This window comes from Homo sapiens, chromosome 10 (assembly GCF_000001405.40).
Source record: "Homo sapiens chromosome 10, GRCh38.p14 Primary Assembly".
NCBI classification, from domain to species: Eukaryota; Metazoa; Chordata; class Mammalia; order Primates; family Hominidae; genus Homo; species Homo sapiens.
The window spans coordinates 122,560,189-122,573,509 of record NC_000010.11 but is presented as its reverse complement, the minus strand read 5'-3'; the positions used below and the strand labels follow the sequence as shown (position 1 = coordinate 122,573,509).

At 45.7% G+C, this 13,321-nt stretch overlaps 1 protein-coding gene across 5 annotated transcripts in view; it reads right to left on the bottom strand.

Moving 5' to 3' along the window:
• Positions 1 to 12,756, bottom strand: part of DMBT1 (deleted in malignant brain tumors 1) — an 82,983-nt gene extending 70,227 nt beyond the window's left edge. For all 5 annotated transcript variants that reach the window (NM_001377530.1, NM_007329.3, NM_001320644.2 and 2 more), the window contains exons 1-5: positions 12,679 to 12,756; positions 7,514 to 7,543; positions 3,301 to 3,348; positions 2,573 to 2,620; positions 1,149 to 1,196 (exon numbers count right to left, since the gene is read on the bottom strand). In NM_001377530.1, coding sequence (NP_001364459.1) covers positions 1,149 to 1,196; positions 2,573 to 2,620; positions 3,301 to 3,348; positions 7,514 to 7,543; positions 12,679 to 12,739 — 235 coding nt within the window. In that variant the 5' untranslated portion in view covers positions 12,740 to 12,756. The remainder of the gene's footprint in view (positions 1 to 1,148; positions 1,197 to 2,572; positions 2,621 to 3,300; positions 3,349 to 7,513; positions 7,544 to 12,678) is intronic.

The window sequence follows — 13,321 nt, the reverse complement described above, 5'->3', positions numbered from 1 at the left end:
TTATTACCCTACCCCCATGTCCTCTGCTGCCACAGCCTCTATTCAAAAAGTCACCCAGTCCATTCACAACCCCATGCTAGTCACAAGATTGAATGTCAAAAGACATCTGGCGGTTTCTATGGCTCAAACACACCCTTAAATGACAAATATTCACCATCACTGAAATATTTCTGAGAAGGTGGTTCAACCAGAAAAAAAGGTGGTTTCGAAAGAAAACCAACCTTTCCAGAATGCAAAACTAAACCACTCACAAAGTGGCTGCATGGAGGACGATGCCCCCTTGGGGAGCCCAGTCCCACTTGGTGGTTGGATTACCAAGGACACACCCCAGGCATGGTGGCATGGGCTCAGTCCAGCCCACACTCCAAATGACAGAGTTGCTCTTGAAGTAGACAGTTTAACCAGAAACTCGTCTTTGGGGATCACGCCATGGGACAGTGTCCTTGTAGGTTTCTTTGTGAATTAAAAAAACCTCTTGGTGTCTGCACACATCCTGGCACTATGTGAACAAAGGAAATCAGCACTGGGACTTGCTGGGTTAGGTCCAGGAGAAGTTCTCTTTTCCATTGAGCATGTTAAGTATCTTTTATTTGTCACTTAATTTCCAGTAAAGAGAATGCCTGGGTTCCCTCCTCAATTTGATGTTGATATACATTTATGTCTTAAGTCCCAAGAGTTCTCCCACTCTCCTCAAATTTTAAAAAGGGAGAAACTGCCACTTAGGAAGATATATATTTGGTATCCCAGGCCAGGTCGTGATGCTGCTAAAGTGATTGCATCAGCAGGCTCTGAGGGGCTGAGACTGAAGCCTACCTCCACCACATCCAACTTCAGGATATGTAGATGATCCCTTGGCCTTCATTGTCTATGAAAAGGGGTGGTACCACTCACACTCCAACATCAATGAAGACATCACTTACAGCAAAGCAAGTAAACTACAGAGCACACACACGTGTACAAACGTGCTCGTGTGTGGTGATATGGACTCAGAGTTGCACATACACAGCACAAGGTGATATCCACACTACCTGAGCACCTGACGCCAGCACACTACTTTCTATGTCCTCTACACCTCATCTGGGTCAGAGATGAATCTAGGAGTACAGAGGGGTAATGAGCCCATAGAGCTCCCCCATAGTAGACGTTACCTTCTGCTACGGTTGACTCCAGGGTTGACTCCAAGGAAATCGGAGAACCTGCAGGGTGGAGAAAGGAAGAGCTCATTGATGGTAGCCCTTGCTTGAAGAGGGTTGGTCCATGGCTTCCTCAGGTCTGAAGCAAGGGCTGGAAACACAGGTCCTAAAGGCAACCTCCATTGCTAAAAGCCAACCATGTGCCAATCACTCTGTCACTGTACTGGTCCCACGCTGGGCCAAGGTGCCGCACAAGCATCCTTTGTTCTCCTTACCCTCCCCCAACCTCTTCTGCTGCCACAGCCTCTATTCAACAAGTCACACAGTCTATTCACAGCCCCATCCTAGTCACAAGAATGGACGTCAAATGACATCTGGCTGTTTCTATAGCTCAAACACACCCTCAAATGACAAATATTCACCATCACTGAAATATTCCTGAGAAGGTGGTACAACAAGAAAGATGGTTTCCAAAGAAAACCAACCATTTCAGAATGCAAAACTAAACCACTCAAAAAGGTGGCTGCATGGAGGACGATGCCCCCTTGGGGAGCCCAGTTCCACTTGGTGATTGGGTTATCAAGGGCACACCCCAGGCATGGTAGCCTGGGTTCAGTCCAGCCCAAACACTGAATGCCAGAGTTGCTCTAGAAGTAGACAGTTTCACCAGAAACTCCTCTTTGGGGAGCACACCATGGGACAGTGTCCTTGCAGGTTTCTTCATGAATTAAAGAAATCTCTTGGTGTCTGCACACATCCTGGCACTATGTGAACAAAGGAAATCAGCACAGGGATTTGCTGGGTTGGGTCCAGGAGAAGTTCTCTTTTCCATTGAGGATGTTAAGTATCTTATTTGTCATTTAATTCCCAGTAAAGAGAATGCCTTGGTTCGCTCCTCAATTTGATGTTGGGATACCTTTATGTCTTAAGAACCAGCAGTTCCCCCATCCTCCAAAGCCTTTAAAAAAGGAAAAACTGCCACTTAGGAAGATAAATATTTGGCACCCCAGGACAGGGGTTGTCGTGATGCTGCTCATCAGAACCAGTCCACAAGGTGATTCCATCAGCAGATTCTGAGGGGCTGAGACTGAAGCCTGCCTCCACCACGTCCAGCTTCAGAAGGACAGGAAGATAACCGCTTGACCTTCATTGTCTATGAAAAGGGGCAGTACTACTTACCCTCCAAACACCAATTCAGACATCACTTACAGCAAAGCAAGTAAAATGCAGAGCACACACACGTGTACAAACACGTGCTCATGTGTGGTGATATTGACTCTGAGTTGCACATACACAGAGCAAGGTGATATCCACACTACCTGAGAACATGACACCAGCACCCTACCTTCTATGCCCTCTGCACCTCGTCTGAATCAGAGATGAACCTAGGGGTGCAGTGGGGTAATGAGCCCACAGGGATCCCCCATAGTAGACGTTACCTTCTGCTACAGTTGACTCCAGGGTCGACTCCGAGGGAAATGGAGAACCTGCAGGGTGGAGAAAGGAAGAGCTCATTGATGGTAGCCCTTGTTTGGGGAGGGTTGGTCCATGGCTTCGTCAGCTCTGAAGCAAGGGCTGGAAACACAGATCCTAAGGGCAACCTCCATTGCTAAAAGCCAACCATGTGCCAATCACTGTGTTACCGTACTGGCTCCAGGCTGGGCTAAGATGCCGCACAAGCATCCTTTGCTCTACTTACCCTCCCCCAACCTCTTCTGCTGCCACAGCCTCTATTCAACAAGTCACACAGTCTATTCACAGCCCCATCCTAGTCACAAGATTGAATGTCAAAAGATATCTGGCTGTTTCTATAGCTAAAACACACCCTCAAATGACAAATATTCACCATCACTGAAATATTCCCGAGAAGGTGGTTCAACAAGAAAGAAAGATGGTTTTGAAAGAAAACCAACCATTCCAGAATGCAAAACTAAACCATCACAAAGTGGCTGCATGGAGGACCATGCCCCCTTGGGGAGCCCAGTCTCACTTGGTAGTTGGATTATCAAGGGCACACCCCAGGCATTGTAGCCTGGGTTCAGTCAGCCCAAACACTGAATGCCAGAGTTGCTAGAAGTATGGCTTCTGCATCTCTTCTGGATCAGAGATGAACCTAGGGGTGCAGTGGGGTAATGAGCCCACAGGGTTCCCCCATAATAGACCTTACCTTCTGCTACAGTTGGATCCAAGGGCACCTCCGAGGGAATCAGTGAAGCTGCGAGGTGGAAAAGGAAGAGCTCATTGATGGTAGCCCTTGCTTGGGGAGGGCTGGTCCCTGGCTTCCTCAGCTCTCAAGCAAGAACTGGAAGCCAGGGCCTAAGGGCACCCTCCATTGCTAAAAGCCAACTATGTGCCAATCGCTCCATCACTGAAATGGCCCCAGGCTGGGCTAGGATGCCACACCAGCATCCTTTGCTCCTGTTACCCTCCCCACACCTCCTCTGCTGCCACGACCTGTATTCAAAAAATCACCAAGTCCACTCATAGCCCCATCCTAGTCACAAGATCCAATGTCAATGACAACTGGCTGTATCTATAGCTAAAACACACCCTCAAATGACAAACATTCACCATCACTGATATACTCCTGATAAGATGGTTCAACTAGAAAGAAAGGTGGTTTCGAAAGAATACCAACCTTTTCAGAATGCCGAAATAAATCACTCACAAAGTGGCTGCATGGAGGACCATGTCCCCTTGGGGAGTCCAGTCCCACTTGCTGGTTGGATTATCAAGGGTACATCCCATGCATGGTGGCATGGGCTCAGTCCAGTCCATACGGCAAATGCCAGAGTTGCTCTAGAAGTGAACATTCTAACCACAAACTCCTCTTTGGGGAACACGCCATGGGACAGTGTCCTTGAAGGTTTCTTTGGGAACTAAAGGACCCCTTGGTGTCCACACACTTCCTGGCACTACGCAAACAAAGGAAATCAACACTGGGATTTGCTGGGTTGGGTCCAGGAGAAGTTCTCTTTTCCATTGAGGATATTAAGTAGCTTTTATTTGTCATTTAATTCCAAATAAAGAGAATGCTTTGGTTCACTCCTCAATTTGATGTTGGTATACATTTATGTTTTAAGGACCAGCAGTTCCTCCATCCTCGTCAGCTTTTAAAGGAGGAGAAACTGCCACTTAGGAAGATATATATTTGGTATCCCAGGCCGGGGGTGGTCGTGATGCTGCTCATCAAAACCACTCCATGAGGTGATTGCATCAGCAGGCTCTGGGGGGTGAGACTGAAGCCTGCCTCCACTATATCCAGCTTTAGAAGGACTGGCCGATGATCCCTTGACCTTCATTGTCTATGAAAAGGGCCAGTACCACCTGCCCTCCAATATCAATTAAGACATGACTTACTGCAAAGCAGGTAAGCTGTAGAGCACACACATATGTACGCACACATACTTATGTGTGGTAATATTGACTCAGAGTTGCAGATACACAGAGCAAGGTGATATCCACACTACCTGAGCACATGACACCAGCATCTTCCCTGTGGCCACATTCGTGGTTGTACCATCCGCTGTGGGGACAGCTTGACAGGTAGGACTCCCTTCCCAAGCAATGCAAGTCACCCAAGGGAATGTTACCCAAGCCCTGACCAAAGTGGGCCCCGCCCAGGGCTGACATGGAATAGCCACAGCCGAGCTGCCTGCAGACAACATCTGCATCCTGGGCGTCCCAGCTGTCATCACACATAGTGCCCCATTAGCCTTGGTACAGGACCTCCACCCGGCCCTGACACCGGTCACCTCCATTCACCAGCCTCAGAGGCAGACCTGCAGTGACACAGCCAGAAGCTTTTATCTTGGTGCTCTCGGCCCCCTTGACTTGCATCCCTACCCTCCTCACTCCTCCTTCTTCCTCTCACCACCCTGCTTATTTACAATCTTTCTCCCAGCAGGATCTTAAGTATCCTTGTTCTTCCATGTTCTCTCTTTGCCCTCTTCTCATTCTGTATTTTCCCCCTGGAGAACCTCATGTACTCTGAGAACTTTCCAGAAGACCCCCAAATCCACCTCTCTGGTTCTGACTCAGCCCTGACAGCCCAGCCCTGAGCTCTAGACCAGCATTTTCAGTGGCCTCCTGGCCATCCTACCCCCCACATCATCCCAAACTCAACACAGCCTCTTCCCTCCGTTTGAATTAAGGATGTCATCATGCTCCATATTAACCATGCTGGGAATAAGGGCATCATATTCGACTCCTCCTTCTCCTCACATCCTACATCTAACATCACCAAGGTCATTCCTTCCGTGTCGTTCCCACTGCCATTTCACTGGGATAAGCCTTCATCCCCTTGAACCTGGCCTCCTCCCAGCTGAATCCTCAGTGTCTGCTCTTCCTTTCTCTAGTCCATCCACATTCATTGATTCAATCAGCATCGATGGAGTGCTTACTCTGCACCCATTTCTATACTAAGAGGATTCACTGGTCTCCAGGTGGTTTTCAAGTTTTATCTTTAGAAAGTACAAATATATTCAATTCAATTCCTTGCTCAAAATGCTTCAGTACACTCTCCAGTCCCATCAGGATCAAGTCCAAGAGCAAGCCTCGACCTACTTTTCCAGCCTCCTCTCCTGGGAGGGGCTAATTGAGCCTGCTTCCCACCATGGAGCTGGCCATGCTGGGAAGTCAATAAGCACCATGTTCCTGCCCGACGTGATGCCACTAGACCACCCACTGGGGTAAGCTGTATTGATGGTGTGAGGAAAATAGGTACAGGTCCTGAGGGGTGCAGCCCACCGTCCTGACAGTAGGAGCCAGATCCTGGGTGTGGCTTTTCAATGGTGAGTTTGAGATTATGAGAAACTTGTGGTCACAGAGTGAGAGGCTGGAATGGGATGCAAAGGGAGGGGGCAGGTTGCTTTTCCTCCCAGAGGGAGGAAAGGCCAGCTGGACCATCTTCAGGGTATCCCCAAAGTACATTCTGGACTTCCCATGCTCTGTCCTTCCCCAGTCTCAGGGACATAATCCATGGAGATGCCTGTTCAGACCTGAGGCCTTATTCGGAAGGGCCCCTCTTACGAGCAAAACACCCTACCTTCTATGCCATCTGCAACTCTTCTGGATCAGAGATGAACCTAGAGGTGCAGCAGGGCAATGCGCCCCCTCCTGGTCACCCTGTGAATGGTCCCTCCAGGAGAGTGCTCGGTCTCCCTGCCTCAGCCTCTCCCTTGCTCTGTGTTGGTCAGAAATCTGCCTTTCCCAGGCCATTTCTGGATCTCTCAAGTCATGTCCTGGAAGGGGAGGGACTGACCTCAACAAGGCCAAGGGCCCAGGAGCAGAGTCATCCTAAGTGAACACATGGAAGGCCCTGAAAAATTAAACTTGGGCACAAAGTTCTCTGCACATTCTCACTGGAGAGGCAGGGACATTTAGCCAAAGTCAAAGACCAGGGCAGGGGTAAGAGGAGGCACCCATCCTAGCCTCAAATCTCTGCCCTGCTACTCACCAGACACATGATCTTAGACATAGAAATATTGACAAATTAGCTAACTGTGCCCTGGTTTTCCCATCTGCAAAATGGGTATAATCGTATTACTTACCTCAAAGTGTTCTTGGAAAGATTTCATGATAATAGCACTCACTATGTGCATTAGTTGAGCACTTATTAGGTGCCAGGTGGTATTTTAAGTATTTTTTAAAAATATATCAATTCATTTCATACATGAAAATCATTTTATGCAGGGTATATAACAAGTGCTTGGTAGATGTTAGTTATCTTCAAGATACCTGTCATTATTAGTGAAAAGAAAAGGTAGGCCGGGCGCAGTGGCTCATGCCTGTAACCCCAGCACTTTGGGAGGCCGAGGTGGGTGGATCACGAGGTCAAGAGATCAAGACCATCCTGGCCAACATGGTGAAACCCCATCTCTACTAAAAATACAAAAATTAGCTGGGCGTGGTGGTGCGCACCTGTAGTCCCAGCTACTCTGGAGGCTGAGACAGGAGAATTGCTTGAACCCAGGAGGCGGAGGTTGCAGTGAGCTGAGATTGCACCACTGCACTCCAGTCTGGTGACAGAGCAAGACTCCATCTCAAAAAGAAAAAAGAAAAAGAAAAAAAAAGAAAAGGTACTGACCTTTATTTTCAACTATCTCTCCTCACACCAAACTGAAACTAACCTCATCTGATAAATGACTGAGAGTCAGAGAGCAAGAGGAAGGAGAATGACAGCTGGGATTGGCCGAGTGTGCACTTGAGACATGCCCCAGGTCTTGGCACGCACGTCTCCTGTCCCCCCGGCATTCCTGCATTCGACAAGGCAGGCGTTTGCTCTGTGACCTCAGCTGTGCTCAGCCTCAACTAGCCAACAGTAGCAGAGGAGAACTGGCCAACCCCACCAGGGAAGAGGAGTGAAGAAAAGGTCTTACCGTAGTCTGTAGTCCTTGGGATCCACCCACCTGGAAAGAACACAAATTCGTCTTAGAAACACTGTTTAGAAATGATTTCCTACAAGTCACAGAAATTGGCTTTAGCTTCACCGTACAATCACACCAGAGGGCGCTGTGGCTCAATCTTGGGTTTGTGTGTCCCCGACGTTCTTGCTAAATGAATTCTGCAATAGCGGATTAAAGCAAGTGGATTGGATATGAGGAGCTCAATCATTTTAGATGTAATGAAGCATATGTCTCTTTACTAGGCCCCTAACACTACAGCTTATGGTGACAGGATGTAATCTATGCTTGGAAAGAAGGGCTGGACAAGAGAAGACAGCTTAAGCTCGTTGTCCAGTCTGAAATTTGAGTATAGCTGGCATTGACAACAGCCACTCAGATGACCCCTAAAGAAGAAAATATGTTAATGTCAGATATTCTGTTCCTTCTGACTCATAACCTGAAAACATTTTATTCCATCTTGAAGCAAATGGAAATCTAGAGATCCCTGGATCTTTATATTCAGTGAGGCCAGACAAGGTCCATCGGACTCAACTGTAGCTTTTGAGTTTCTTTTTGAGCAGTTCTAACTATACTCGTGAGTGTTGATATTTAACAACTTTTATATATTTTAGAGGTCTTTCAAAGATCAGAGAGAGTATTTATTCATTTAAAAAAAAGGATAAAACTCATCCTATCTTGTAATCACCATATGGATCCATTAGATCCTTTTATAAATCCAAGATTCATTATTGGCTTCTGATTTTATTTTTCCTATGTCTTGAAGCATTTCACTATTTCATCATCCAAGAAAGTATTGCATCATTATTCATCAATTATTAAATAGTAAGAAAATGATAGAATGGTGAAGTTGCCTAGAAGGAAGATGAACTAGTGAAATAAGTCATAATTCTTCCATGCCCAAAGTATTGTATTATCTTTCAAGAAGATTTTTTTTAAGATTGGAGACACTTTCTTCATAGTCTGTTTTTAGCTTTCATTGAATGCAGTTAAAAATTCAAATTTTTTCATTTTCTACTTGTGATGGCAAAGAGAAGAAAACTGACAAGGGAAGATGTTTCTGCAATAATTAGATGAACCAGAAGAGGAATATAGAGACAAGATATAGCACTCCAGATACTAATAATGGTAGAATTGATTGTACAACAGAAATCTCAGACTATGAGTCTTCAGATGATGATATCCTAGATGAATTTCTCAAATTCAAGAATCCAGGGTCAATGATACAATTCTAAGGACAAAAATAAAATACAGTACTCTTACACACTTCGATAGGGATTTCATCACATGATATTTTGCAACAAGAACTTCAACCATCTTATTTTGCTAAAAAAAAAAAATACATGTGATGGTATTCTTTTGTCTTTTATGATGTTTATATACCAAAATGTATGTGATACAAAAAGGTCTGCTATGTTTAAATTCTTATTAACAATTCCAGCATACTTTCTTTCATTATTCCTTTTCTTTTTACTTCCTGGTAAAAGGAGGATTAAGGCATTTGACAAAATTATCAGATTATTATTTTATTTTTAGAGATAGAGTCTTGCTCTATTGCCCAGGCTAGATTCAAATTCCTGGGTTCAAGCGAGCCTCCTGCCTCCAGCCCTAGAGTAGCTGGAACTACAGGCATGTGTCACCATGCCCGGCTCTTCAGATTCTTTGTAAATGTGGGTCCTGAGAGCAGTGACAGTCACAGTTCAGAGATTTGAATTTCTCTAATGGAACCAACAGGCCAGTGACAGGACTTGCCGTATGTCAGAGAACATCTTCACCTGCCTCAACAGCCTGAATATGAGCTCCATGATGGGCTCCCCCAGCTGCCCTGCTTCATATTGATGGCTTAGGAAGGGGGCCACTGAAACCATGTGGCTATGCATCCCTGAAAATGAAGAAGAAACTCGCAATAGAAACCACAACATTCTTTCAACAGAGATAGCAAACTAGGGAACTCTGTACCAGAACATCCCCACCTCTTTTCTGACATGCCATCCCTGCTCCCACACTCAAGAACGAGCTGATAGATGTGCCTAAGAGAGCCTTCCATTCAAAACTCGGCCATTTAAACACAGTCTACCTGACACCATGCAATTCCCACTGCCAGGTCCCAGGTATCCTGCCTAATCCCATGGCAGTCGAACTCATCCAGCCAGAGCCTTGACAAGGCTCATCCACAGCATGGAACACCACATTGAAGTTGTTCCTGGTTCTGCTGTGTCCACACATTTTGAATAGACCCTTCTGCACATACTGAGACCAATCTGTAGTCTTCCAAGAATCAACCACATAGCTGTAGGTTACTCCAGCTGCCATTGTGGGAATGGTGGTAAATTGCCTGAAGGGAGAAGAATCACTTCTGGAAAATGATTTATTAATTTTTTTTTTTGAGACAGAGTCTCACTCTGTCACCCAGGCTGGAGTGCAGTGGCACAATCTCGGCTCACGGCAACCTCTGCCTCCTGAGTTCAAGTGATTCTCATGCTAACAAACACTGGTACCTTCCTACTAAGTTTACTCCAGGCTTTATCTGGATTTCACCAGTTTTTCATTTTCTGTTGCAGGATCCAATCCAAGAGCTCACATTACTTTTAGGAAGCTGCTTTTGGATAAAACATGAGGAAAATGTCTAGAGTAGTAACACTAAATGGTTCTGAGGCTCTGTCTATGTGCCAGATACTGCATGGGTTGGAACATAACCTCCATTTATAAATGAGTAAACTGAGGGTCACAGAGGATCCACAGCAGGCAAGTGGCAGAGGAGGGGCATTGCTGGGGCTAGCAGTGGGTACCACAGCCTTTCCTGCCCAGCACAAACCTGGGCATACTGAGTTTTTCTCAAGAGTTTGCATGAAGACCAGAGCTGACAGGTGCCTGCCACCTCGGTACTTCCAGCGCAAAGCTCTGTGGTCAGGCTCCAAGCACTGAGTTAGATGCCACAGTTCAGTTCATCACCTCAGTTCCCTGCAAGGAGCAGCAAGGGCCAGTGGGCCAGAGCTGTCATCTGAATGCTAGTGAATTTGATCCAGATTCAAGCCCTAACCCAGCCACTCACCAGTGCTGTCTTTGGACAAGCCAATAACCTTTCTGAGCCTCAGTTTCCCCATCTGAAATGTGGAAATAATTGTTCCTAACTTCAGCAATGTTAGAAGATTTAAATAAGAGAATACAGGTCCACTTCAGAGAGCATGAATTCCCACCTCTGAATGGCAAACACAGGCATGCATGCACATGTGTGCATGTCTGTCCATATGCATGCACATAACATCATGGGCAAACTACAAATGTCCTCAATCCAAGAGCACTGCTGCCTGTTGTTTCTTTGTAGATAAAGACGAGGCAATTCACTCCCTGTCTACAGTGGCTGATGTGAATTCCATGTCATGGTTCAGAGACAATCTGGAGGGTGAACTCGGTACTGACAAGAGCTGGGGCTGAGGACGCAGCCTCCCAGTTTCAGATGCTTCTGATGGAGGCAGGATGAGGATGCCCAGTCTCCACTCCCCTGAGGTCCTGGGCCTGGTGGCCCCCAGTCCCTCCACACACTCATCACAGGGGGTGGGCCTGCTCCCTACCACCTGGGTGGGAGGGCTGGGTTTGGGGGTGCTGCTTTCATGAAAGCAACCAACCAGATGAACCTTAATCTTCAAAGCTTCCCCCACTGAGCCTAGGGGGAGAGTGACAGTTCCAGAAGTTACCTGAAAATTAGGTGATTTTTACCCTGTATCCTGAAATTCATAAATCTAGCAAAAGATGACATAAAAGAAAAAAAAGGCAGTAGGAAAGATAAAAGAGAAGAAGGAAGAAAGAAATGAATAAAGAGAGGGAGAGAAAGAAAAAGGGATGGAAGGAAGGTAGAAAGAAGATAGAAACAAAGGGAGAGAGAGAGAGAGAAATAGGGAGGAAAAGTGATAAGAGCTGCCCAATAGATGATGAGAAAGAGTGAGAGAGAAAAAGAGAGGGGGAGGGAAGGTGATAATAGCTGCCTGACAGATGAAGAGAAACAGATAGAGAGAGAGAGGAAAGGTGATAATAGTTGCCCAATAGTTGAAGAGAAAGAGAGACAGAGACAGAGAGAAAGGTGATAATAGCTGCCCAATAAAGAGAAAGAGAGATGGAGAGAGAAACAGAGAAGGAGGAGGAGGGAGGGAGGAAAGGTAATAACTGCCTGATAGATGAGAAAGACAGGAAGATACAGTGAGGGGGGCAGGGAGAGAAAGGCAGAGGCAGAAACAGAGGGAGGAGGAGGAAGAAAAGGTGATATCTGCCCAAAAGATGGGAAAAAGAGAAAGATACAGAGAGAGAGAGAAACACAGACAGACAGACAGAAACAGAGGGAGAGAGAGGGGAGAGAAAAGATGATAATAACTACACAATAGATAAGAGAGAAAGAGAGAGAGAGAGAGGCAGAGAGACAGGAAGAGAGAGACAAAATAGGCAAACTGAGAATCACTTGTTCCTCTAGTATCTCTGCAAAATGCCATTGAGATGCAGCAATCAGAGTGCGCTACCGACGGCTCTCTCACGTTTATCATCTGACTCTCTAAGAACATACAGCTATGCTTGAGTGACTGGGCTTCAAGTGTTTGTTTAAAGCTGTGCATGACAGAGAAACTTGGAATTCCAAGACAAACTTGGAATCTTAATGATCTTGTCTGCGCTCAATTACTTGACCTGATTTTGCTCGGCAAATATTAGCCATCAAGCCAGACACACCTGTAGAAAGAAGCCACATAAAGGGCATTTGCAGTGGGAATCCTTTCTGCCCGTTTTCATAGCACACAAATTGTGTGTTTAACCAATTGTTGCAAAGTTTAAGGGCCTCTTAATAATACACATCCACCTTTCCTAAACTTCAGGGATTTTTCTAAGACAAATCAATCATTCCTTTAGTTGAATGACTTACTGAAAACATTGACTTAATGACTGGCTTTTTCTAACTACAACCATTTATATTTCTCAGCCAGAAATAAAACAAAAAAGAGCCATTCCTCCTGAATACCTGCAAACAATTACAATTATCAGCAAAGTGCTACCCACTCTTTGATATAAAACTTCCCTTGTAATGGAAAGTAGTAGATATAATTTGCCATGATTGGGTCTGCAGGAGAGAAATTAATGAATATAATAATTAAACGTAATACCTGTAGATAGAACTTGTCCCCATAAAAGACACATTTCAAGGATGACTGTGGAGATCCCCATTTTGCTGGGTTCTTCTCAATTGAATAGAAAATCCTGGACATTTATAGGTACCTAGCTAAAAGGAGGTGTGTCCTCTAGGGTGGTATATTTCTACTGCTGCTATAAATCAATATAAAGGAAGTGAGGGCTTTTGCTAACAGTCGATGGCTAATATGTGGAAAAAACTTAGGTGTGTTTGATTGATTGCCATATGAACAATCTGGCTGTTGCCCAACTGCAAACGCACTGACATAAGTGAAAAATTTCCAACTTCCCTCTCGGTGAACCTCAAGGACTCCCAAGTGTTTCCTGAATACGGGCTTGATTTTAATCTTGGGGAGTTCAAATTCACCTGTGGGAAGTCTGCCCCAAGGTTTGGGGAAGAACAGGATGTGGGCTGCTGAGCAAATACAGGACACAGTGCCAAGGGGGAAAGCATCTCTGGGATGGTTTTTCCTGGCAGGACATGCTCTCATCAGCCCCTGTGCAGTACTAGTAACCTCACCTTGGAAGAACGAGGATGACATGAGTGTGGATGTGATCAGAGAGCAGAAGTCATGAGGGATGATTCCACGGAGACCATGGGTCCATAATAGCTTTGGC